General features: G+C 51.1%; 1 protein-coding gene across 4 annotated transcripts in view, besides 6 other annotated features; it reads left to right on the top strand.

Annotated features, from left to right (window-relative positions):
- The window catches only part of FSTL4 (follistatin like 4), a 645,613-nt gene that overhangs the window by 510,428 nt on the left and 108,886 nt on the right, over positions 1-26,299 (top strand). For all 4 annotated transcript variants that reach the window (XM_011543283.2, XM_011543284.3, NM_015082.2 and 1 more), the window contains 2 exons: positions 14,988-15,181; positions 18,863-18,986. In XM_011543283.2, coding sequence (XP_011541585.1) covers positions 14,988-15,181; positions 18,863-18,986 — 318 coding nt within the window. The remainder of the gene's footprint in view (positions 1-14,987; positions 15,182-18,862; positions 18,987-26,299) is intronic.
- Positions 2,216-2,923: an enhancer, noted in NCBI's record as "H3K4me1 hESC enhancer chr5:132664409-132665116 (GRCh37/hg19 assembly coordinates)". NCBI's record gives its function as "activates a minimal SCP1, AML or CMV promoter by ChIP-STARR-seq in naive H9 embryonic stem cells {active_cell/tissue: H9 hESC(naive)}" and the evidence as "EXISTENCE:reporter gene assay evidence [ECO:0000049][PMID:30033119]".
- Positions 2,924-3,631: an enhancer, noted in NCBI's record as "OCT4-NANOG-H3K4me1 hESC enhancer chr5:132663701-132664408 (GRCh37/hg19 assembly coordinates)". NCBI's record gives its function as "activates a minimal SCP1, AML or CMV promoter by ChIP-STARR-seq in naive H9 embryonic stem cells {active_cell/tissue: H9 hESC(naive)}" and the evidence as "EXISTENCE:reporter gene assay evidence [ECO:0000049][PMID:30033119]".
- Positions 11,601-12,117: an enhancer, noted in NCBI's record as "H3K27ac-H3K4me1 hESC enhancer chr5:132655215-132655731 (GRCh37/hg19 assembly coordinates)". NCBI's record gives its function as "activates a minimal SCP1, AML or CMV promoter by ChIP-STARR-seq in primed H9 embryonic stem cells {active_cell/tissue: H9 hESC(primed)}" and the evidence as "EXISTENCE:reporter gene assay evidence [ECO:0000049][PMID:30033119]".
- Positions 12,118-12,635: an enhancer, noted in NCBI's record as "H3K27ac-H3K4me1 hESC enhancer chr5:132654697-132655214 (GRCh37/hg19 assembly coordinates)". NCBI's record gives its function as "activates a minimal SCP1, AML or CMV promoter by ChIP-STARR-seq in primed H9 embryonic stem cells {active_cell/tissue: H9 hESC(primed)}" and the evidence as "EXISTENCE:reporter gene assay evidence [ECO:0000049][PMID:30033119]".
- Positions 16,806-17,305: an enhancer, noted in NCBI's record as "H3K4me1 hESC enhancer chr5:132650027-132650526 (GRCh37/hg19 assembly coordinates)". NCBI's record gives its function as "activates a minimal SCP1, AML or CMV promoter by ChIP-STARR-seq in naive H9 embryonic stem cells {active_cell/tissue: H9 hESC(naive)}" and the evidence as "EXISTENCE:reporter gene assay evidence [ECO:0000049][PMID:30033119]".
- Positions 17,306-17,807: an enhancer, noted in NCBI's record as "H3K4me1 hESC enhancer chr5:132649525-132650026 (GRCh37/hg19 assembly coordinates)". NCBI's record gives its function as "activates a minimal SCP1, AML or CMV promoter by ChIP-STARR-seq in naive H9 embryonic stem cells {active_cell/tissue: H9 hESC(naive)}" and the evidence as "EXISTENCE:reporter gene assay evidence [ECO:0000049][PMID:30033119]".

The following is a 26,299-nucleotide window of genomic DNA, read 5'->3' as shown; positions in this document are numbered from 1 at the left end:
GTCATTCTTCTCTGAAATGCCATTTCCTGCCAAGCTCATGTAAGAGCACGTATCGCCGGCTTATAGCAGACCCGTTTTCTGAGAGCATTCTGAGGCAGTTTCCCTGTAACACCTTTTCTTCTAAAGTAAATGACCCCAGGAGCCCCTTCCGCAGGTGAATGTGGAATGTGTTAACATTTGGGGAGTTCCTTCCTGGAGACTGCAGTTCAATGGCATTGATTTGCAGTCCAGGCACCCCTCACATCAGAGGACCAGAATCTCTGCTTGTTGTCTTGAAAACCCAGTGACTCTTTGGCTTGGCTCAGAAGCTGAAGATCAACACAGAGGAGAGAAAAACACCATGAGCTGCCAGGCCTGTGAGACGCCCGCTCAGAAACTGCTACTGCCCCAGTCTCCCCACCTGTTATTTCAGGGCACACCTGCCCTGCCTGGGGGTGTCTTGGGAGAACAGAGACAGGAGAGAGCCCAGTTCTGGAGAAGGCCCTGCCGGGACCTATGCGGGGCTGCTTTCCCTCTCAGCGGGGCTTGCTGTCTCTACCCCAGTGCACAGAGGTGATGCCTCTTCCTCTGGGGCTGCTGTGGGCTGCCTTCCTAGAGGCCAGGAGCCTCCATGGCCCCCAGGCATGACCCTGAATCCCCTGCCCCCCTGTTTTTGACCATGCTGGCAGAGCTTGCACACAGGTGCACGTGTGTCCACAGCATAACCACAGGGACACACTCACACTTCAGCACATATGCACACACAGGCATACTCCCACACTGTTCCCGCTGTTCTTTAAAAATCACAGTACCTGGGAGTGTGAAAAGAAGTAAGGCCACAGATTTGGGTTGCTCTTGTAAATCACTTGTCTTTACCCCCTGTCAGACCTAAAGCCACCTTTTTATAGCAAATCTTTTGTAAAGCCCCCCTTTATTATCTTGAAATGGATACATGTCATCAAATATGACATATATTTGATATGAGGGATATATCTAAGTTCTATCCCATATATGTGTGGTGTATTATTCTTTGGATATTTGTACCCTGAAATCTCATGTTGAAATGCAATCCCCAGTGTTGGAGGTGGGGCCTGGTAGGAGGTGATTGGATCATGGGGGTGGGATTCTCATGAATGGCTTGGCACCATCCCCTCACGGCTGTCCTCACGGTAGTGAGTCCTTGCGAGATCTGGTTGTTTAAAAGGGTGTGGCATCTCTCTGCCCACTCTCTTGCCCCTGCTCTTGCCCTGTGAGATACCTGCTCCCCTTTCACCTTCTTTCATGAGTAAAAGCTTCCTGAGGCCTCACCAGAAGCTGTTGCCAGCGCTATACATCCTGTACAGCCTGCAGAACTGTGAGCCAATTCTTTTCTTATAAATTACCCAGACTCAGGTATTTCTTTATAGCAATGCAAGAACAGCCTAATACAATGTGATAAAAAGGAGAAATGCAGGAAAAGTGATGAGCATAAAATAAACCTTTCAGTATGTAAATATCTGGGCACCAGCTGCACTCATGGAGGCCAGATGTCAGCACCTACACGTGGAACCCTAAGAATACAACAGCTGCAAACAGAACCTGTTACACGTCTGTTATGTTGACAACTTGAATATTCAAGTGTTGTCGCTTTAGAGATGGGATTCTCCAAAATGGTGAATGATTCTTGATAAAATAGTAAACAGAATCTACAATTGACAGCAGAGGTGCATCCTTGGAATGCCTTTGCCAAACCCGGGGCAAAGGGGGTGAATGTCGTGTAACACATTAGATTCTAGGCTCAAGTAATAGTAACCAGATGTTTTGCTGCCGTGAGTGAGACATTTAAAAATTCAGATGAGATGCCAGGTGTGATGGTTAATACTGAACGTCAACTTGATTGGATTGAGGGATACAAAGTATTAAGCCTGGCTGTGTCTGTGAGGGTGTTGCCAAAGGAGATTAACATTTGAGTCAGGGGGCTGGGGAAGGCAGATCCACCCTTGATCTGGTGGGCACAATCTAGTCAGCTTCCAGCGAATATAAAGAAGGCAGAAAATGTGAAAAGGAGAGACGGGCCTGGCCTCCCAGCCTACATCTTTTTCCCAGGCTGGTTGCTTCCTGCCCTCGAGCATCAGACTCCAAGTTCTTCAGTTCTGGGACTCGGACTGGCTCTCCTTGCTCCTCAGCTTGCAGACAGTCTATTGTGGGACCTTGTGAGAGCTGCAAACAGAACCTGTTACAGGTGTGTAAGTTAATACTTAATAAATAAATATATATATATCTCTCTCTCTCTTTTGAGTTCTGGCCCTCTAAGAGAACCCCGACTAATACACCAGGCCAGCAGAAGTTTTTGTGCAGGATGGTACCGTGAAGGTCAGGATCGCTAGGACCCCTGGCCCCACCCATTAAGTGCTACCAAGGCCCTCCAATCATTGTGACAACCAAAAACATCCCCACAAAATTCCAAAACGCCTCTTGGGGACAGCACTGCCCTTGTTGAGACCGTTTATAGAGACTCCTTGCATGTGCGATGAGTCCATGTGGGAGCTAAGTGCTCCCTTTGCCTGACCCATCAGCCTCAGTCTGGAGCCAGTAACCCTCATCTTGATCACTCGCGGAGGAAGCGACAGCCTCAGACCCGGCCGTGTCTCTATGGATGTGCCCACCACTCAGTCTAGTGGCCACTCAAAGGCCACAGTAGCTCAAGCTCAAAGCAGCTACATTTCTGGACATCACTGACGCCATTGCCTCGCTGACGCTGAGCAAAGTTACTGCCAGCTCCACAGCCGGCCTTTTCCCCTTAGTTAGATGTTTGGGAGGATGCAGCCTCCCAAGGAAGTCTTGGAAACAAAATTAATAAAATTAAACAGGAGGTGGAGAAGGCACCCACACTCCCATATCCCCTCCGACTTCCCTGCCTGGTGACTGACCTCTAGTCCAGCACTACTGCTTCTGCTCTTGGGGCTGGTGACAGGGAGAGTGGGAGGAGGGCTGAGCTGCTGGACAGGGCAAAGGGGGAGCCGGAGTTCATAAGAAGCTGTTGCCCACCTTCCACAAGGAATGCTGACCTGTTAGGGAATCTAGCTGGTGGAGGTTTTCCACTAACACAATAGTAAAAAATAAAGTTCTTAATACCAGGAGAGCTTTAGCATTTATTCATGTTTTCATACAGTGCTCTTTCACTCTGGGGCCACCTGACAGATCTGCCAGTCAACCATAAAAAGTATATGTGGATCCCTCTCCCAGGGATCCAACCAATTTTGCTTTCTCTAATAGGAATAAAAGAGAGGATTGTAAATGTCAGACAGCAGATTGTATAGCAACATCAATTGAACCAGGCATTCATAAGCAAATGTACCATTTATCTAACAAAGGTCTGGGTGGTTTTGTTAATTTAAATGACCTGATGCTGGGGTGCAAATTGAGATGAGGCATTGTCTGCGTATTCAGGTGCAAGTGGAGGTGGATATTGCCACCAGCCTTGGAGTCGGCTGGATCTGCTCCAGTGCAGCACAGCCGGGGAACCAGGCGCAAGGTCTGCATGGCCTCGTGTGTGTTTAACCCTGGGTAAAAGGCCATGTCAAGCCTTAGACATGCAGATTCTGTTTGTGGTTCCAAAGTGAGCCTTGTACCTTCAACCTAGAAAATTCAAAATTAGCTGAGATGACAAATATGGACACTCCAGGGAAAAGACCAGATGGAAACTGACTGAGAATAGTTTGGCAGCCTTGATGCAAGGCCCTCTTTGAATCCTGGGAGGATGAGGGGCTAAATCTAAGAGGCTGTAACCACTTGATTTCCCTCAGCCAGTCCCTGGATGCTAGAGTACCCACACGCCAAAATCCTTATGTAGGATCCCAGGACCTTGGCATGGCCAAATGCCAGCAGGTGACCTTTGAGAGAACCAACCCTTTCAGCCGCAAACTCAGCTGCCTGTGATGGCTGTCAGCTCAGCTCAACAAGAGACAGACCCAGTGCTGTAGCCATGCCCTCCTCCCCCTGAAGCCCTTATACTGGCCTCTGTTTCCCAATTAGAGGAACCAGCACATCCATGCCTTACCGGGAAGCAAGAGCCAGGATGTTGGAAGGAACTGCTCGGCTCTGTCTCTGGGTCTTGGCTGAGAGGCGGGCACCCTCCAGCTATTACCCAGTTTCTCTTTCTGATTTAATCCCTGGTAGTTTTCCCTTCCAGGCCCCTCCTGAGAGCCAGTCAGCTCTCAAGCAAGGTGGCCAAGTGAGCCCTGTCAGGTAGGGGGAAGGTAAGCATGTTTGCTAAAACTGTGTTTCCCAAAGCGTGCTCAGTGGACTATCTGTGCTAGAATCAGCAGACTCTTAAAATGCAGCTTTCCGGGCCTCACCCCATACTTGCTACCCTTCTAGAAGCTGAAAATTTGTTTCTAACAGACCTGCAGACCTTCTAGAGGTGAGAATCTATAGCAGCTCTCCCATACCGTTGCGTTTCCTCAGCTAGGCCTGTCCTGGGCTTCCTCTAGGGAAAGCCAGAGTAAACAGGTTCTTCGTTGAGTTTCCTGAGGCCCTGGTGTTATGTGGTTGAAAGACCAGGGTCAGGAGATCTGGGTTCTGATCTTGGATCTGCTACTAGTCTGCCCCGTGGTCCAGCCACGTCCCTTCCCCACCCTGGGCCTCAGTTTTCCCATCTGTCTAATGACTGCATTTGGCTCATTGCTGGTTCTGGTGTTGGGACTAAGGAGTGAGGAGTGTTCCAGGGAAAGCTCCAAGTGATGGAAGGGACAGGAGGCAGGCTGAGTTCCTCCAGGCCATGGGCAGGCTGCAGCACCTGGTGAAGGTATGCCCACCGTAGGTCCCTGTTAGCAGTGTTCTCTAAGAACGTGAAGTTATTCACCCAAGAGATACAAAGATGCTGGGAGCAGTCTTTGCTTTAAGAAGCTCAGTCTAGGAGATAGGACAAGGACAAACCCCTCCAGGCTCACAGAGCCAAGGTCCAGAGTGTGTGGTTTGGAATGGATGGAAACAGCTCTGTGGAACTGGGCCTTGGCAGAAAAGTCAGATTTGAAGAGAGGGTCTGCCAGGAGTGGGGCACCTGGGAGCAAGCTCTGCGGGCGGGCTTTCTGGCAGGGAGTGGGAAGTCAGTGGAGCCAGACTGGGACCACTGGGAGGGCCTTCAAGGCTAGAGTAGCCAGTGGTTTTAGGCCAATGACAGGCATAAACACCGCCACAGGGTGCTGAGAGAAGGGGATAGTGACCCACTCACTTAGAAGTCACAGACCCCAGGGGACAGCGGCAGTGGGTTACCAAGTGGCACGACTTCCAGTACACCTGTCCATGTTTGTTTGGGGATTGTGAGAAGACTGTATCATATGTGTGTAACAGTCTCTTGGAATTTTCAGAGTTTTGTGGCTCAGTCAACACTGTCAGTGAAACGACATCATGTTAGCTAAAATATATCTTAAAGATAAGCCCATTGGTTTTGGCATTTATTGTTAATTGAATTTTCCCAGAAATGGCAGCAGAAAGATTGTTAATGTTCATGAATTTACATCAAGTTAAACATCTGTTCCTCTTAAGCTAAACTCCAGCAAAGTTACGGCAGCTCCTAAATTAGAGCTGGGAGTAAAATCCTGCTTGTTCTTTGCGCAGCTTAGCAGTTTCAAAATAGACCTCAGAATGACACATCACAACTGAGGCCCCTGTAACGCAGCCGCACTGAGCTATATAACATGGGTGCCAGACAATTAAGCCAGGTTTTTGCTTTGGTGGTGAAGATCGAAGCTTTGCTGGGGCAGCACATGACATGACTTACCAGGCTAATGGGGAAAGTGTGGGAACCAGTGTTGCTAATGTCTGGGGGACAGGCAGCCAAGAGGATGGGGGCATGTCCTGTCTCTCCCCTGGGCCTCTCTGGGGGGGTTCTCAGGTGAGGTTTGGGGATCTGAGCTCTAGCCACCCTGCCAGGTTGAAGAGGGGCTGGAGCCCAGTGACTGCAGCTCCAGAGAGTGGCTGGTTACTATGTGGTTTCTGCAGGGATGGCCTGTGTCTGGTTTGGGAAGAGAGATCCTCACCCCATTTGTTGGCATTCAGAGCAGACCCACCATCCCCCACCCAGGCAAGTCTTTCTTCCCCATGCCTTTGCCCCTAGGTCCACGCCCCCTTCCCCAAAGGGATTGCTTCCAGCAGTGGCAGCTGAGCTCTTTCATGATGTTGAGCCATGTCCTGCGTTCCCCTCTCCAGTACATTTTGGATATTCTTCAAAGGGGGACTCCTGAGAGTAGAGTGACCCCAAGAAGGGAGATTCCAGCACCCCGGAGACTCATGGGGCTGTGGTCTTATAGTGGCCTGGGGATTCCCCCCACCCACCTTGACCCCACATTCTGCCTGTGTATAAAGCTGTCCCCAAGAACACAGATGGTCCACAGGGTCGGCTCTGTTCATTTACTGATCAGAGCCGGGGCAAAAAACAGGGTCTTTCCTGAAGCTATGCCATAGCCAAATTCATCCACAGGCCTCCTTACCTGGGTGGCTGTTTCAAGCACAGGGCGCTCAGCTGGCCTCTTCACAGGGTGATCCACGGCTCTCCTGACCAGCAATGCCAAGACAAGAGGGCAGAAGCTTTCCTCCTCCTCTCCAGAAGCAATTCCCAGGCAGCTGCCTTGTGCCCACCACACTTCTATGCAACCTAGTGTCCAGAGACCACCTTGCCACCACCCCTAGCCTGGCCATGCTGGAGTTCACTCCATGGGAACAGCATTGCAGGTTTTGGGTTGTCCCCACTGGGTGAGGTATGGAGGTCTGGGCTTCAGTGAGCATGGCCACATGTACCACATGGTCAGCATGCCCCCCAAGGAACTGACATGATGGGTGACACAGGCACTAGCCCCCTTCAGAGATCCAGACCCGTCACCATGGTGCAGGGTGGCTGGGATTGTCTCCTCTTCAGGGCAGGGCCGTAGCCACTCTCCAAGCCCACCTGCCACCTGTCTTCCACAGTCATACCGGTAACAGACACTGAATGAGCCCCTTCTATGTGTGGATGCTGGGCCAGGTGCTGGGGGTACACCTGTAAGCAAGGCCCCACTGCACTGGAGGAGCTCACAGTCTAACAGGGAGCCTGATGATCCACAGTGGATGAAAAAGTCACAGAAATTGAAGGCTGGAGAAGGCTGGCAAGAGAGAACAGGGCAGCACACGAGGGTGCCCGTTAGGCAGGATTGGTGTGTTAGGCGAGGGAGGCTGAAGGAGTTGGTGAAGAAACACCTTGCAGTGAGAGAGTAGGACGGGGCAGCAAGAGAGAGCCCACTTTCCCGCCCCACCACCATGCAGGTGCCTCACCCCTGGGATCCAAGGCTTGGGCCTTGACCACATGGCCTGTCTCCCTCTCAGAATCTGAGCTCCCGACAGCCTGTGTAGCACTTTCCACATTGCCCACATTACACAACGCCTCCCTCCCCTTGACTCTTCGGAGTCTCCCAGCCCCACCCACGCCTTTTACAGGAGCTTCACCTGCCACAGAATGAAGATGGTCCCTTTGAGCACAGTCTGGCAGGGGCACAAGTGGCTGATGGAATATTTACAATGTCTCCCTTGCTTCCCTTTGTTTTGCAATAGAAAGTGTTTCTTTGATGGACATTTAATTCCAGAGACTGCTACCTGCTACCTATCTCCCTTTGCTCAAAAATTAAATGTGGATGTGCCTGTTCTCCTGCTATAATCATCTTCCTCTGTGTGAAGGGAGTGCAGTGGGAATGAGAGAACATTAGAATCTTCAAAGAGGGACAATTATTGAGGGAACTAGATTAATGAGGTGTCATAACAACTTAGCCGGATCTGCGACTGACCTTTCTCATGGAGAACGGGCTTGATAAATGTAGTTCATTACCAAGTTCTGACATGAAAATAGGATCACACTCTGGGCTCCTCGGCAAGCTGATCAATATTTTATCTGCCAAAGCAGGCCTGGTCTGGGAGCAGGAGGAGCCCCACGCATGTGCTGGCAAGGAGCCTGAGGCCAGGGCCAGGGGCTGGCCAGGCCAGCCCTGTGGCATGGAGGGCACCCAGGCTGGCAGGAAGGTGGCTGAGCCCTTCACAGAGCCTGCCAATGACGCTGTCAGTGTCAGGCTTACCAGGACATGCAGCCTCTCTCCCCAAGAAGCCCCAGATGGGGCATGTGCACTGGCGGTCAGGAGGGAGGGAGAGGATCAGGACATCTTCTGTCTTCTGTTTAGCCATGAGCACTGATTTAGTTGCCAACCTGTCCCAGGCCCCACAGTAAAGGGGACAAAGACAAATGAGCCATACCCCTCCCTTGGGGCTTTGAGCCCATCTCACCAAGAGAAGACCCCAGGCCTCGCCAACCACTTGCTAAGTCCTCACATTTCCTTGTATGCTATGACCCTGGAAGGCAGTAAGAAGCTATTATTATCCCCATGTGAAGATAGGGAATAGGAGTAGGAAGGGCAGGGGAGTGAATGCCTTTCCTAAGGTCTCACAGCTGAAGTCAGGTGGTCTCCTGATCCTCCACCCAGTGTTCTGTCTGACCTTGTGGTGACTGTCATTAGCAGTGTTAATATCAGGTAGACACGGCAGCCTAAGATGAAGTCTGTGTCCCCCTGAAGACCTTAGACAAGGTTGTTATAGGGTGAGCCCATCACCCTGGCTCCAGCTTCATGAAAATGCCCTGGAGCCACAGGACTCTGGTCCTCTCATTCAACAAGCATTTCATACTGTAATGCTGCATGGGGAGCTGTCCACTTCAACTCCTGCCTGCTCAGAACATGTAATCCCATTAAGGGGACATAGCAGATGCTGAAAGCCGCCCATCCAGCTTCCCTCAGTCAACCCCAGAGGTGATGTGCAGCTTGGATGGACGATTCCCCATAACACTTGCCAAGAGCATCCAATCCCAGGCACCTGCAGCTTCAGCCTGAGGACATTTTCCGGTCTCAGGCGTGGACTCAGTCCTCATTTGGGAGGTCCAGAACTGCTAGCTGGAGGTGGTGAATTCCTCCAAGAGCAACCTCAGCTAATAGGGATGGAAGTCAGTAGAAAAATATCCTGGCTCCCTCCCACCTCAGTGAAGCAATTCTGCGGTGTGTTCTACACAGTCCCTCTGAGGACCCCATGGGATTGAACCCCCATTGCCCACGGCGGCAACCCACTCATGAGTGAACCCTTTGTTGGCTTTTCTCCCTTCCCAGTCTACTTCCTGTTCCTTCCAGCACTTCTTGGGATCATCTTCAAATATGCTGCTTGCCCCTAGATCCTCATCTCAGGGACTGCTTTGGGGGAGCCCAAACTAAGGCTGGGGCAAGCCTCACTCAGAAAGGATTTCATAGCAGGCAGAAAGGAAAGCTGAGGGAGAAGGCAGTCCCGTGTGGGTGTGTGTGGGTGTGTGGGTGTGGGTGTGTGTGGGGGTGTGTGTGTGTGTGGGTGTGTGGGTGTGGGTGGGTGTGGGTGGGTGTGGGGGTGTGTGTGTGTGTGGGTGTGTGTGTGTAAGTGGACAAGCTTCCTACAGACGAGGTGGATTGGGCCTGAAGACAGGAAGGGGGTGGGGCAGCATGAGAAAGCGCAGCTGTGTTCAGAGCATAGGGAATTTCCAGCTATGGAGGGGGCTTCCCTGAAATTCTCCAAACCTCACTGTAAGGCTTGACTTAGCCAAGGTTACCACAAAGGCAAAGACAAAATCCCCTTATTTAGAACAACACAAAGTTCTCTTTACCTGGAAACCAGCAAGACTCAGAGAAAACACTGAAATGACTTTCCAAACATGTGGGCAGAAACTTGTGCAGTCCAAATCACGGCGGTCCTGCCCACTCATGAAGCAGGTCCCCTGCGGGTCCCAACCTGGCAGCCCCTGCTGAGCCTCATTCAAGGCATGGACGTCAAGGTTATATGCAAGCATCCCACCTTTTCTCTGGAAGAGTCATGCCTCCGGATTAATCAATGCTGAAGTTCAACTGTATTCTGAGTCTCCCCATCCCAGGCTGAGTTAGAGAGGCCCTGGCAATGGGATCCGGGCCCCAGCTCAGGGCTCCTTATGGCATTCTCTCGAACCATTCTCTCGAACTCCTGACCTCAGGTAATCCACCTGCCTCGGCCTCCCAAAGTGCTAGGATTATAGGCGTGAGCCACCGCGCCCGGCCTGCCACTATCATTCTCAACATCATCTTGACCATCACCCACAGGGGCACCAGGGAGGAGTGGGGTGGTCCCCAAGCCTCTGCCACACACCCCAGGGACCTTCCCTCCGAAGGAGTAAAGTATCCTGTGGATCAAGGCTAAGGCTAAGACTGGACCCTGCCCCTGTCCGGAGAGATCTGATTCCCTCCCTACCTGGGAGCCAGGCCCAACACACACAGTGTCAGGGCACGGAGAGTGATGAAGGTAAGGGGTGCCAGCTTACATCAGGTGATGTTTAAGCAGAGGCCAAGATGAATACACCAGGTGGAGATTTGGGTGAATAGCACTCCAGCCAGGGGGATAGTCAATGCCAGGCCCCTGGGCAGGAGCATGCCCAGTGATCAGTGCTGCTGAAGTCCCCTTGGTCCCCCCATACCCCCCACCTCTCTTGTAGTCACCTGTGTGGAATTGCTGGGCAGGTGGGCAGGGCTGACTGGGGTGAAGATAAGAAAGACATGAACCTTGGGTGTTGACACTTTCTTGCCCAAAATGATTGGAATTTTTTTTTTTTTTTTTTTTTGAGACGGAGTCTCGCTCTGTCACCCAGGCTGGAGTGCAGTGGCGTGATCTCGGCTCACTGCAAGCTGTGCCTCCCGGGTTCATACCATTCTCCTGCCTCAGCCTCCCGAGTAGCTGGGACCACAGGCGCCCGCCACCATGCCTGGCTAATTTTTTGTATTTTTGGTAGAGACGGGGTTTCACCGTGTTAGCCAGGATGGTCTCAATCTCCTGACCTCGTGATCCGCCCGCCTCGGCCTCCCAAAGTGCTGGGATTACAGGCGTGAGCCACCACGCCCAGCCAATGATTGGAATTTGAGAAGAATAGGAGGAAGATCAGAAAACAGGTCTCGGAGCCCGCACAGCAGACGAGGGCTGGACTACGTGAAAGAGCTCATTTCAATAATGGGCTCAGTGTCACTCATGGAGAGGGCCCAGCTTCACATCTGGCCAGCAGTGTGTTGACAGCACCTGCATCTGGGAGGTGGATTTCGGGATGATTTATTTTCTTTTTCTTTATTTTTATTTGCACTTTCCAAGTGGTTCTCTGATGGGCATGTATTTCTTCTAGAATTAGACAAATGTTTGAAGCTGGAAGAGGGGAGGGAGCCTTTAGCTGAAGACATGTCCGGTGGTGTCCAAAATGCCCAGTGCTTCACACAGCTAAGTCACTCCTATCTGACCCCACAGTGAAACCAGCAGGGGGCAGGAATGTAAAAATAAAACTGGAATTTGGTAACCTATGACTTTGACACACCTTGCTAGGAAAATATCTATCCTGGAAGCCAAGGCCAGCTGTGAAGGAGGAAATCTATCCAGGGAGACTGAGCTGGAGGCTGCAGCTTTGGGGCATCTGCCTCTGGGGGCTGGAAGAAGGCAAGGAAGGAAGTTTTCCCTCCCCCACTCCACCTCAAGCCCTGTGGAATTCGGATGACAAAGGCAGGGAGTGAAGGCAGGGAGCCACCAAGAGGGCAGCCCTTGGAGATGAAGGCTCAAAAGCCTTCCCAAAAAGCGAGTTTGGACTTTGGGATCTCGAGTGATCATCTGCACAGAAGCAGAGCTCTGAGCATCAGGCTGCCTTTCCTCCAGGGTCCATGGCCCTTCCCCAGTGCTGTCGGGCACCAGAGGAGCTCAGTAATTTCGGACAAATGACTTCATGATTTAAGTTTGGGCAAAGTTCTCTCTTGCAACTCATTAAAGCACAGTTGCTCCTGGGGTAAAGAAGGATTTAAGATTCTGTTCCTGGAATCCCTTGGTTCATCTCAGGACCCCAGTGGCAAGCTTGGCCCAGGCATGGAGTGCCCTCAGTAAAGGGAAGAAATGACGAAGGAAGTTTTGAACAGCATGATGTACGGTGCCACACACTTCCCCAAGGCCTTGGAGGCTCTGCCTGGGTTGTCCCACTGCCCTCTCCTGCCTGTCTTGTTTCACTCTCCACCTGACTCAGCCCCTCTAGCCCAGCCACACCAGCTTTCACCAGTCTCCAGACGTGCCCCACCATGGCTCCTGCACGCGCAGTCCTGCTCCTGGCCTGCTCTTCCCTCTGCTTCCTCCCACAACTCCTCCTCCTACAGGTCTCATCCTGAACATCCCTCCCTTGGCCTCCCACCACAGGCACCCACAGTGCCCAGGACTGGAGGCTGCCCAGCATCGGGCACACAGTATGTAAATAAATACTGGTAAAAGGATGGGAGTGGCCTGGACAGTGTGGGCCCTAGCAGGGGGTGGGACCGTGGGCTCAGGGAGCTGATGCTGGAGACCTGGAGGGCCCACCCCTTTCCCCCAGATGATTGACTTCTAGACCTGCACATACCTTCCTGACCAGAAGGTGTCTGTTGGGCAGTTGCCAGGGTGAAGCAGCCAGAAGTCTGCGCTCACAGGCAGCTGTGAGGATGTGAGGTGGGGCCGAGCCTGGGGAGGATGCTGCAGCACCCCACTTCCATCCCAGCAAGACCCACCTGGATGGTTTCCCCCACCTGCCAGTGTTGGAGGTGTTGTCCAGCTGCAGACCCCTGCTCACAGGGGGACGCCAGTCCGTGTAGCTCTACAGACTTGAGAAATGGGTTTGCCAGCTGGTGACCCCAAGAACTCCCAGGGCGCTCTCCATGCTTAGGCCAGCCTGGCCACTGGGGTCCTGAGACGAAATAAGAGGCTCCCAGAAAGGAATCTTGCCCAGGGCAGCAGGCAGCTCAGAAGTGGTTTACGCCCCACCAAGGTCCAGGAGGAAGGTTGGGGGGATCTGCAAGGATGGGGCATCCTGCCCTTTTGACCCAGCCTGTCCTCACCTTCAGGTGGCCCTGCTGCAGCATGTTCTTCGGAGCCTGATTGTCCACCGGTGTTTCTGAGTACAGCCTCTTCCTGACACCATATCCACCTGCTGTGTACATCAATTTTTCAGTATCTGGGTATAAATGCCCCCCACTCCAGGAAGTCCTGGGGGCTGCAGAAATGCTGGCTCCTGCAGACCCTCCACACAGGCACACATCCATCTCCATTTACCCCAGCAGCTGGCCCCACCTCCACTTTCATTCTGTACCCCCACTTCTGGTCTATTTGCCAGGACAAAATTTCAGCCTCTTTCAGGGAGTGAGGAGCTAGACTCAGGCAAAACTATTCCTCCTCTTCCCCAAAACTTATCCTTATCCAGGCCCAGAAAAAGGAAAAACCCATCAAGTTTTGTAGGGGCACAAAGCCACTATTTTCAATGCCCTGTAGCTCTACAGACTTGAGAATTGGGTTTGCCAACTGGAGGCCCCAAGAACCCCCAGGAATCAATATCCTACCAGGCAAAAGAGGGATGCAAGCAAGGTGAGGGTGTGGGAGAGAGGCGTTCTTGTCAGAGCATGAAGACTCCCAGAGAGCAAATAGATCTGATTATATTGAACACAACAATTGATTTTTTTCTAAATAAACATGCAGGAGGAAATGGCAATGGGCATCTGTTTCTGACAGAAATCAATTGACCCCAAATTGGAAGAAAATCTGGAAATACAAACAAGCACAAGAAAAAGTGGTTGGGCTGTCCAGGCTTATCAAGGGAGGGTATGAGGGAGGAAAAGAGGAAGGGAGGAAGAGAGAAACAGACAGACAGACTTCCCCATCATCCCTTTCCCCCCAGTAGCTTCCCTGATGATTGCTCTTCAGTAAATGTGGTTCCCATAATGTCAAGGGAGAGAGTAGCTATCATGTTATGAGCCCTTACTGGGTGCCATGCTGGTGCAAAGGCCTGTATGTGCACATCTTACTTAATCCTCGTAACAACCCCTTGTGGGAGGCACTGGTATCTCTGCTTCACAGATGAGATCACTGAGGCACCCTGCCCAAGGCTACATGCCTGATGGCAGCAGAGCTAGAGCTCAAACCCAGGGGACCTCAGAGCTCATGCTCTCTAACACTTCTTTCTATTGACTCTCCAACTCTGGGATATTATCTCAGGCCCTAAACTGGCCTTGGAATTAAGGAGAAGAGCCCCAGGCTCCAGCAACCCATTGGCCTTCAACCTGGAATGGTCAGTGAGGAGCCCATGCGTATTCTCCAGGATTCAGCAAAGCCAGGCGCTGGAAGTACTCATCCCCCAGGGAGTCGGGAAGTGGGGCTGGAGGGGCTGCCCTCTCCGCTGACACTCCTGCAATCCCAGTGTATGGGCGTTGCCCTGCGTGATGTCCATCCTAGAAGCCCGTCACCAGCAAGATAAACTGTGCCATGCTGCAATGCATCCCAGGCTTTACTTCCCCAAACACTGCATGGTTCTGATGCTGTTCAGCAAGCGCGCCTGGGATAAAACGAGCTGTGTGCTTCGGTTTTAACGTTGTAAAGCTTCTTTTTGTTTCTTGGTCATAGACTTGTGTATATGTTTGTTTTGAAGTAATCCAGCTCTGGGAGGGTGCCTAATTAACATAAGCAGGGCTTATTAGTCCTGTTAACTAAAACTCCCTAATCTAGGAGGCCAAGTATTCAAAAGCAGCCTTTAAGGTAGGATTAAGGCAAAAACCAGTGATTACAAAATGGAATTGGGGGTAGCTTTCCTAAAGCCTCTGTGGGGCTGCCGCTATATATTCCGCTGGAAGAATTTCCCATTCCATCTGGCAGTCACTCTAGTCTGGCTTGTAGTGGTGCTCAACAAATATTTGTCAGATGGACAGATTCCCTCCAGCATTTGCATCATGTGTAGCATGCATTCCATGTTCCATCAATATTTATGGGATGGATTGGTGAGCAGAACACAAACAAGTCCCATCGACGACAGTTGCACCGTGCACTGCACATAGTGAACGCCTGGTGGCTATTTGTGAGTGAGATGAATGGACCAGCGGCAAGAATGTTCTCTCAAGACCACGGGATAAGTCTCAAAATAATAACCTCACCTTCTCTTTCAGGTGACACGTGCACCATGGCCGGCTACGCCCGCTTGAAGAATGTCCTTCTGGCACTCCAGACCCGTCTGCAGCCACTCCAAGAAGGAGACAGCAGACAAGACCCTGCCTCCCAGAAGCGCCTCCTGGTGGAATCTCTGTTCAGGGACTTAGATGCAGATGGCAATGGCCACCTCAGCAGCTCCGAACTGGCTCAGGTGGGCATCGTGTTCAGTGAAAGTCACATGATGGAGGAATCCAGTTTTCCATTTCCCACCCCGGCCCCCTGGTGTCTAAGAGCATGTGTTCAATACCTCTGAGAACATCTCACAAACAAAATGAGGTCAGGTTCTTCCCACCAGCCACCTTTAGCCTCTATTTACAAACAAGCTTTCAGGCCCTCTCAGCTATCTGGCAAAAAACTCACTTCAGAGGGCCTGGTCTCTGATGTTTTGACTAGGAAATCAATCTTTTCTTCCTTGAGTAGGATTAGTTACTCAGCAGAAAAGTTACAAGGAAGCAGTGCTTGGTTTCCATTGAACACCATTGGAGCTATAACCTGGAAGTCCCCAAGTCTTCTACCTTAGGACATCACTGCTCCTTAGTATCCAAAGATCAAGAACCCAAACCTCGGACTGCTTGTTTGCAGAAAGCCCTGTGTCTACCCGTCAACCCCCACCAAGCCCTGCTCTCATTTGGGAAAACACTTGCATTACACCCTGAGGTTTGCCTCCCTCCCCTGAGACTGCAGTGTTCAACACAGCACACATGTCCTTTGTCGAGCTACAAGGTGGAGCAGGGGTAGTTAGTGTCTGCAACATAGAAAGCAAGGAAAGAGTGACCTCACTCACTGGGGCCACAGCCACTGCCAGTTGCAGGGAGGAGCCTGTAGGGTCCTGATGGTAGAAAAGCTGGGGTGGGCTGGAGGGGCCTGCATTCCTACTTCTGCTTACTGGTTTGTTTCTAAGGGTCTGTAGCCCTAGAGCTGCACCAGGCAGGTACAAGATCTGCAAGGAGAGTGAGATCAGCCTCCCTGAGTTGGGTGGTGGGGGGCGGTGGGCAGCCTTTTTCTTGTGACCACAGACTGTCCACCCAGTGGATGGATAATAAAGACAGGTTCCCACCTTTGATGCCAATTTAAAGATATCTTAAACATGGCACAGGGACCTTCTCAAGGCTGTGGCCCGGTCATTGGGAAGAAGTGGGGTGGGGAGTGCCCTAACATTCATTGAGCCATGTGCTTGACATTGAGCTAGGCCCTTGACCTATGATTAATAAACACAGAAGAGTTCGTTGTTATGTAGGATAGTGGCAAAGAATGCAGACTTTAGAGTCAAACTGCCTAAGGTCAAGTGCTGCGTCCAGCATGTATGAGCTAGTGGACCTTGGGAGACAATGTCGTTTCGCTGTGCCTCTGTGTTCAGCTGTGAACCTCACAGGGTCATCATGAGGGTTAAATGAGCTAAGATAGTGAATGGCTTAGAGTGGTACCTGGCATGTGGTATGTTTCTTTTTTAGACATGGTCTCGCTCTGTCACCCAGACTGGAGTGCAGTAGCGCAATCTTGGCTCGTTGCAGCCTCTGCCTCCCAGGCTGAAGCCATTCTTCTGCCTCAGCCTCCCAAGTAGCTGGAATTGCAGGCTTACACCACCACACCCAGCTAATTTTTGCATTTTTAGTAGAGATATGGTTTCACCATTTTGCCAGGCTGGTCTCAAACTCCTGACCTCAGGTGATCCGCCCACCTTGGCCTCTCAAAGTGCTGGGATTACAGGTGTGAGCCACTGTGCCTGGCCACATGGTGTGTTTCAATAGAGAGGTCATCAGTATTGTTGCCATCATCATCATTTTTATTATTATTATTTCCTCCTTAAATCTTTCGACCATCCTCTGCTGTAAGGAGGGGACGACTATTATTCCACTTCACAGATATTTTCAGATGAGGATACTGAGGCTCTAAGAAATCAGACAACTTGCCTGAGTTGTTCACTGCCTGGGACATGATGGAACTGAGATGAAACCCTGGCAGGCTGACTTGCATGCACCTGCTCTCCTCAGGGCACTTGGAATCTCCCTGGAGAGAATGGCTCCCACCAAGAGGCACCACATGGTTCCTTCAAGGTCTGTAGGGACAACAAGTACCTCCAGAACCCTAGTAAGGAGTAGCCACCAGAAGCTTTGGAACATAGGCCCTCCGTCCCAGCCAGTCCTGAGCCTGCTTTCAGGAAGCACGTTGGGAATCTCAGATGACTCTGCTCTGTTCACTCATACCTGAGTGGCTCGCGCAAGCCCATTCAAGGCCTGCATCCCAGGAGGCTTGCTGCCCATGGCCCCCGGGGCAACCGCCCTGCCAGCATGTCACCACCTCCATCAGCACTAGGCCCCAGCTCTGGCTAAGACCCTGAGGGGCAGGGCCAGGGACCTGCAGGTGACTCAGGCTGCTCTGGGAAAATCCCAGGTCCTGATAGTTACAGCTACTTGCAGGAAGAACCACCTGGCAATTCCTCAAACTACCGAGCAGGGAGCACCAAGGGCAGGTGGCATCAGCTTGTCTTGAACAGAAGCTGCTATGAGCTCTTGGTATCCAGGCCCACATGGCTCCAGGTAAACAGAGCCTTACCAGGCACTTCATTCTAACCTGGCAGATATGTGGCCTGAGGCACCTGAAGCCATTAACAAGCGTGGTAATTGGACAATGATTTCCTCTTTAAAATTTAATATAGTTAAAGTCCATTTCATAAATCTGCCAAGCAGAGCCCGGCTAAAGTGGGCCTTTCCTTGACACTGAATCAAAGGTGCTGGGGAAGAACTTGTCAGTCCTATAAAAAGTTAATCAATTTCCAATGCAGAAATAGACAAAGGGAAATTTCCATCTTTGGAAGATTGATCTCAGGCATTATGGTTGATCTCCCTTTTATCGAACACTCTTACTTGCTTGGTGAAGGGTCATTTTTTTAACATTATCACATTAAATTGCCTTTAATACAGCAGACCAAGCTGAGAATGTTAAATAAAGAGAAAATGCCTCTGCCCCCCTCCCCCCACACCAAAATAAAATAAAATCATTTTCTTTCTTCTGAGATTTCCTTCTGAGCATTTTCCCTGCAAGACCTTCAGTTCCGAGCACACTGGCTTCTGGCTGTAGCTCCAGCTGAGTGAGGGTGCCTAGAATTTCTACCCTTAGTTACCTTGGGACGTGTGGCTGATCATGCTGGGCAGCCTCTGTGTCCTATGGCTCAGACCACAACCAGAGAGGAGTTTACGAGAGCCTATGTCTGTAGCCTCCGTGCCAGAGTCACAAGGGTGGACATCTGTGTCCTGGGCAGGACAAGGCAGGCAGGGGGGAAGCTCAGGTCTAGGTGGATAGAACGGAGGGGTCTGGGAGTGTGCTGTGTCCAGGCAGCACTGCCTGCCATGGGTAAGGGCTGATGGGTGGGTGCATGATGCAGCAGTGACCTCCAGCTCTATGCAGCTGGAAGCTGGCAGACCTCTGTCCCCACACTGAGTTCAGCCACTGTTTGCTGGGTTTATCCGATGGGGTCTTTTCTCTCCTGTCTCCCCATCTATAGCACACAGCAGTAGAGCAGGTGGCCTCAAGGATTCCCATCTTAGACTGTCTGGGTCTGTCTGCCTAGACAAGGAAAAGACACACCTGAGCTCTAGTCTAGAGTCTGCCCCAAGCACTGTGTGAACCTGGGGAAGCCACTTCCCCTCTCTGAACCCCAGTTTTCTCATCCATAAAATGAAGGAGTCAGACAAGACAAAATCAAAGAGCTTCAGGTACCCCTCAAGGCCCACTGAGCTGTCCCTGGATTCCCTCTTGGCCTGAGTCATTTTCATCAATGCCTATGACTCTAAACTCATCTGATTCTGGCCTTGTTCTCCTCCTCACCCCACAGCATGTGCTGAAGAAGCAGGACCTGGATGAAGACTTACTTGGTTGCTCACCAGGTGACCTCCTCCGATTTGACGATTACAACAGTGACAGCTCCCTGACCCTCCGCGAGTTCTACATGGCCTTCCGTAAGTTGGGTCCCAGTGGGAAAAGGGCTTATTTCTGCAGGTGCTTCTGCACCAAAATGCTGTTGGGTGCCTGGAGTCTGTCCTCAGTTGTCTCCCAGGTTGGTTTCTTATACAGAGGAAAGCTGGTGAATTTGTTCTGCAACAAGCCTGAGCTTTAAGAAAAGACTAAACGGAGAGTGGATGGGGCCAGAGAGGGCTTGCCCTGTTCCTTTTTAATAAAGATTTTTCTCGCTCTTTGAGGGGCCCAGGACTGTAATTGAAGCATAGCTGTGAGGGCACTGTGAACACCCTTTGGGGGTTCTATGACTGAAGGAGAAGGAAGCAGATTTTAGGGCTATCCTCAGGCTAGGGCCTGGCCATGTGGGGAGCCCTACCTGGAGAAAAACACCCTGCAGGAGGGCCTGGAGGCTTGGCCATGCAGCGGCAGGGAGCAGTGACTACCCAAGGACAATGGAGAGTGAGGGTCCAATGTGAAGAGAGGCAGGGGATCCCTGGAGAAGAAGGGAAAGTGGGTGCTGTTTGAAAACAGAGGAGGTACTCTGAGTGCCCCTCCAAAGAGTGCCTCATGCATATGCAAGTGGATGGGATGCCTTCAGGACCTGTATCTTTTACTTGAGGTGATCTTCCAAGAGATTACATTAACCAGAGGTGGTGCTGGGACAGGACTTACAAGAAATGCAAGATACAAGAGCCATTCGTAGCTCCAGGCAGGGGTCAGCAGAGAGGAGAGGAAAGGGCAGTGCTGGGCCCACGCTGGAGACTAGAGGGGACATCCTTGGCCCAAAAGAGATGAAGCCCCTTACATTAGAAGATGTTCAAGCTCTGCTTAAAGTGGGCAATGCATATACCCTTGGGTGTGACCTGCCAGCTCACAGTTCCTAAGTGCAAGCCCTGGCATTCAAGAGGTGGGTGCAAGCCCACCCCACCCCCAGGGGCACTGAGTACCCTGAGCCACAGAGCCTGGTATCCTCCCTCAACCCCAGCCTTTACCTGGACTCCCGTTTTCCAGCAAAGTATTCCTGCTTCAGAGTGACATCTCTTTGGGCTGTTGCTATTCCACACCTTCACAAGGCCTGAAGAGGGATCCTTGTGATTTGTTGGCAAGAAGGGCTCTTGTGGCAAATAGAGAGGTACTTGGATGACATAAGAGGAGAGAAGCAAGCATGATTCTTCCCTATGGGCAGTGTCCATGAGCTTGACGTGGTTGCAGGGGCCTTTCCAGTTCATATCATCCTTAGTACCAAAGTCCACCCCAGGTTCCAGAGCTTTGCTTGATTTACTGTGACTGTGCAGGGTCCCCGTCATCCTCCTCCCCGCCCACTAGTCAAACTCATACCTGCCTATGTTGGTTCATAATAAGGTGAGAGTGACTGGTAGGCTTATCCTGCTGCGGAGGTGTTTGTCTTGTGGGCCAAAGAGATTATTTCCAGAAATGCATTTGGAATGTGTGGAAGTATCCACAACTCCCCACACCTGGTTCATGAGAGCTCATTGTTAAATTTTCAGGAATTTTACAAGCAAACAGTTAGACACTTGGTCGCTTTAAATTGGCCACGTTGAGAATATTTACATCATAGAAATTCACACCACACATATGCTACCAAAAAGGGGAAGGGGGGACATTTTTTCTTCTCTAGGGAGCCGGTTGTTATACATTGACCTGCATGTCACTGGACAAGACCCTCTCTCCTGCCCTCGGAGTCCACTTCTGGCAATATCTTCCCCACCCACCTCCCCTCACTGAGACTCCTTGATGATTCCATGGAACATGAACAACAGTAGGCTCGAGCAGCTAGGGCAGGTTACAGGAACAGCAGCTCTCTGAGTCAGGAAAGCAGCAACATGTTCTCTGGGGATAGTTCCAAGACATTCCCAAAAACACTCTCTGAGCCTAGACCCCTCTGCCAAAGGAGTTATGAAGGAAAAGCTCAGTGCATTTTTAGAGCCAGAGGCCAAGACTGGACTTCAGGGATTTGTGGGGCATACCAGGCATCATTACTTAATGTCCCAGATGCCGTCATCAAGCAGATTATAGCACTGCTTGGGCACCATCTTGGTGCCTGGTACCATAGCAGCCTCTGCTTTATGAGCACAGTTCCCATGAGTGGGTCTGGGGCCAAACAGCATGCTCTTGGCTTTGCTCTCAAGGAAATGGAAGCATCCCTATTGCCTATGATGAAAGAGAAGGCCTCTCCAGCTTCCCTAGTAAGGTCATTGTAAACATGAGCTACCCTGGAAAGGGAAGGACGTCATTACCTGACCTCCAGCCACATGTCTCATACAGAGCAATGTGGTGTCAGCTCCCTTCGTTCCTGGATTATTATTTGGAAAGCTTTATAATCATCATTTTTAAAGCAAATTAGATTCTGCTGTCGCCTTGGACTTGTTTTGAACCAGACAGCCAAACCATTCATCACAGCCCAGCCCAAATAATAGATATGCAATAAAACGTAAACTCACAGCCATTAAGGAAGCCGCAAAATGAGTTAACCCCCACTATAAAGGCTTGACATGCAGCCACTTGGAGCATATGGGGATCAATGGTTTTTCAAAGTCACAGGAACTCTAAACTAAATTCCCATAGCTCTGGTAATAGATTTATGGTTCAGCGAATTTTAAATAGGTAATTGAAATGAGACATATAGGTACAAGTTATTACCCAGCAATCGATGGGCATTAAAGAAATCTCACTAAAACCCAGAAAGTAATATCTCAAACATTTCAGCAACAACATTCTGGATTTAATTTTAAAAACTAGAGCTGATGGGCTGGCAGAGGTTGAGGCATTAGCATTTTATTTTCTAGTCTCTATTTTGCTGGCGTCCTTGGGTATAAGGCAGGGTGAGGTCTGTGGGGTGACTCCAGCTCAGTAGCCTACCGATGCGGAGTCAATCGCTTTACTAAAGGATGATGGGTTTGGGGCTGTTGTACCCAGAGAAGGAAGTTGTATTTATCAGTTTTTGAGGTTTGTGGGGGTGGTCTCCTGAATCATGTCTTCCCATGCAGCTGGCCTGGCCCTGGCTGGGCCATGCTTGCCACAGTCTGCAGCTGGTGGAGGGTGATGCTAGGAGTCCCACAGCTGGTGGATGTCTGTGCTGAGCTGGTTCGTGATGGGGCTGTACCCCCTTCCTGGCTCTGAGGAACAGGTGACTCTCCTCCAGGGTGGCAGGCAGTGCCTAGTCATGGGAGTCAGTTAAGTCTCTTTCTGATTGTCAGATGGAGCCAAGGCTCCCAATTGCCTCTCTCTGTACAGGGACAGGAATGAAATATGAGGGTGCCCCCACTTCCTCCTTTTGTCAACTAAACGTTCTCTTTGCATTGTTTTGGCTTCCCAAACCACAGGCTGATCTAGGAACTAAAGGCTCAGTGTCCTTCTCCAGCAGTGCCCTCTGCCTCTCCTTCCCCACGCCACCCCCCACCACCCCAACAAGGAGTAGTGCCACCTGTCCCTGCCATGGCAGAGACCCAGGCTCCAGGGTCACCATAAGCAAGGTGTGTGCTGGCCCTGTCTGTTCATCACAGTAAATTAACCTCAAAGTTGCTCATCTAAAAAGCTTCTTGATGATGCATGGTTTTTGCACTGTTCTGAGTGCTCAGGTTGGGATCAGGGGAAAACACGTTGCTAAAACAAGGATTTTTCTCACTTCAAATTCATTGCAAGTTTCTTCTGCTTTTTAGAAAATAGTTGTCCTTTTAATTACTCCTATGAGATCAAAGCCCACGAATGTGTTGGATGCATGGGAAGGTTTTGAGCAGCTAGCAGATAAAGGGCTTCACGTGTGAAGGTCCGGTGACCACACAGGCAGGGTGTCAGGAGGACCTGGGGTGCTGAATGTAGGGGAGCCAGACACCCTTCCTCACCTCTGACATGTGTAAGCTCCAGGCAAGCAGAAAGGAAAACAGTGTTTTCATCTACAGCACTACCACTACAGCCAGGGCAACTCTATGAAACAGATGATATGGTCACCTGGTGAATTTACATCTGTTTTTTCACCATCTCTGTTGCAAAGTGAAGGGATGGTGCAGTTTCGTTTACCACACCACTATCCTTTGGAACTAATAGTGCCTGGCCCCATACCAGACTTCCACACATGCTATCTCAGCCAATCCTCACACCCACCTTGTGTTGAGCAGGATGGTAAAATAAGCAACCGCAAGCATCCTCACTACCCAGATCTATCTGGCTCTTTATCTAGGTAGGGTGAGTTCAGACAAGGAGCTTAGATGGCAAGGATACTGCTTTGTTCTACTCCATTTCATTCCTGAGTTTTGGATAGTAAGTAACAAGATTTTAAATAGCATGGGGTTCATCAAAAATTTTATCTGAATTTACTTGGCTCTTGAATTTGGAGAGCAAGCAATGCCTATGGGCTGGTTTCAGTTTTGGCTGAAGCCAAGACCATGGGTGCCAGTGACTCCCCCTACCCCAAAGGAAGACACTGGTTTTCCCACACAGGATTTGCAAATAAAGTGGCCGAAGAACTGATTCACTGCCCTTGGTCCCTCATTTTCTCAAGGGCACAAAACAGTTAAAGCTGGAGTGGCCAAGGGAGGAATTGAAAATTGGCAGACAAGGCCGGGCACGGTGGCTCACGCCTGTAATCCCAGCACTTTGGGAGGCCGAGGCAGGCAGATCATGAGGTCAGGAGATCCAGACCATCCTGGCTAACATGGTGAAACCCCGTCTCTACTAAAAATACAAAAACTTAGCCGGGCTTGGTGGTGGGCGCCTGTAGTCTCAGCTACTTGGGAGGCTGAGGCAGGAGAATGGCGTGAACCCAGGAGGCAGAGTTTGCAGTGAGTGGAGATCGCACCACTGCACTCCAGCCTGGGCAACAGAGCGAGACTCCATCTCAAAAAAAAAAAAAAAGAAAATTGGGAGACAGAAGGTGTGAGTCTCACCACCTCCTCCCAGAGACAGAGTTGGGGGTGCTGTCCTGACTTCAAGTACATAGAGAGGGCTTCAAGAAGCCCACTTCCACGTGAGTCTCCTGAGGCCAGCGCTGGAGGACAGGGTTCACAGTCAGTGTTCCATTTGAATGACTTTGCTTGTCAATATCGCCGTAGTTAGTAATAGGCTCTTAGTACTCCAGTTGTATAAAGTGATACCCAGCATTTAACATGTGTCAGCACTGTACACTATGTCCAGTTTCACAGATGAAGAAACTGAAACTCAGAGAAGTAGCTAACCCAAGATCACATAGTCAGCAGGTAGCAGAGTCAGGATTTAGTGGGCGTGTCTGATTCTAGAACTTTCTCATGCATTTAAACAAACTTTGCAACACATCTGCATTCTCCGTTGAAGAGAATCTCACTGTCCTCACAGTGATTTCCCTAAACTTCAAGCCCCAACTCAATGGTCTTCTCCTCCAGGAGGTCTTTCTCAATTTCTCTTTCCTCCACCAAGCCCCACACACCTTCCTCTGTGTGCCCACAGCCCTGGGTTAACAAGGCTGTGGCCTGATTATTAAGAGTGTGGACTCCAGAGTCCAAGCTAGACCTGGTTTTGAATCTTTATTCTGCGACTGACTAACTGTGTGACTTTGGACAGTTCCCTACCAGAGGTTAAACTGGGCTTTAATTTTCCCATCTGTAAAATGGGAATAACAACCGTGCACAGAGTTATTCAGGACTAAAGGAGCTACTTAATGTAAAGTGATTAGTAGCATGAGACTTTGCCTATAGTAAATATTAGGCAAACATTAACCAGGTCAATGATGGCGGCGGTGAGGGTAATGATGAAGATTTCTGTGTGTGCCCCATCACCCTGTGCCATGCCATTGTTGTCCTTCCCCCTCAGGGACCACAGGCTCCCTGAGGATAGAGGCTGCTTCACCCATCCTGCACTCCTGCTCAGCATGGGGTATGGCACCCAGGAAGGCCTTGGTCAGAGTTGCTCATTGAGGGCATGAAGGACATGGAGAAATACATCGGGCAAGGAGAGGAGTCCAGACATGCAGCTGTGGCCAGCGATCCCAGAGGGTCTCTGCATGCCTCCAGGGGGCCTTGAGAAAACAGGGGCAGAGGAAGTGCCTTGTTGGGGCCCCACAGCTGGAGCCCTTGGTAGAGAAGCATCAGCCTGGCTGGAGCAGGCCAGCTGGACATCCCCAGCCTGGACATCCCTAATCACTGGATGAGCAACTGGGTGTGAGGGAAGCCCCTGCTTCTCACATGGGCTAATGATGCCTTATTGAAGATGAAAGTAACTCACACTAGAAAGCTCTCATCCTGACCAGAGGGCCGCTAACTGGCCATTCAACCCTCCTCAGAGTAAGTGCTCTGGTCGGCTGGCAGGCTGCGTAATTACCTTTACCTCCGGCAGCCACGTATGCAGAGGAGGGCTCTCGCTTAGCCCGCTCCTCAGCCCTGCGTGCCTGCTGGCCTACAGCCACATCCCTCGTGATGCAGCAGAACCTGGCTTCAGCAGCCCAAGACCAGCAGCCCCACCCGGCCCAACTCCTGCCACCTCACCTGGAGGTCAGCTTTGCTGGCTGTGCAAATCTGCATACCTTCTAAATAATTTATAGGCATAGAATATGGGTTTGTATTTCCATGCTGGGCCCTGGCAGGCTGGCAAGGCAGGCCTCTGGAGCAAAACCGTCAGCCACAAATACCCAAGCTCCCCACTGCAGGTGAGGACAAATGCGGAAGGAAGACCACCGTGGGAAGGCCAGCAGGTCCGCCCTGAAGCTACCGTAGGCTGAGGCTCTCTGAAAGCAGGGTGAGCTCCTGGGCAGGGAGGGACAGGCCCGGTCTCATCTCCCATCTGTACACTTGGCGTGGAGTGGCATGGAAGAGGCAGGCCACCAACCTGAGCCTTTCAGAGGAACCTGACCAGGGCAGGGAGAGCAGCACAGGGAAAGGGTGAGGAATTGAGGTTGGGAAGCATAAGAGGAGGAGAACCATGAAAGATGAGGTGGTGTTAGGTCAGCAAACGCACACAGAGCTCACTCTTGGGGAAGCACTGGGCAGAGACTCAGCTGTGAGCAAGACCACAGCAGGCCCTGCCCATGGGGAGCTTGCCACCTGGGTAGAGAGGCAGCGGGTAGAGAGGCAGAAAGATGACCCAATAAACAAAGTAGGAGCTGAGAGAGAGCGTCCTGGGTGCAGGAGGACCAACTGTCCCAAGAGGTCAGGAAGGGACATCGGAGTGGATACCTGAACGCCGAGCTAGAGATAACTAGGCAGAGGGTGAGGAAAAAGGTGTCCCAGGCAGGTGAGGGGAGCATGTGATCCCAAGGGACAAGGGGCTTGACTGAGGGAGGAGGCAATACCCAGGGTAGAAAGGCCGCCACCACAGTTAGGGCCCCGGA

This window comes from Homo sapiens, chromosome 5 (assembly GCF_000001405.40).
Source record: "Homo sapiens chromosome 5, GRCh38.p14 Primary Assembly".
In the NCBI taxonomy this organism is placed as follows: Eukaryota; Metazoa; Chordata; class Mammalia; order Primates; family Hominidae; genus Homo; species Homo sapiens.
This window is presented reverse-complemented; position numbering and strand designations above follow the sequence as displayed.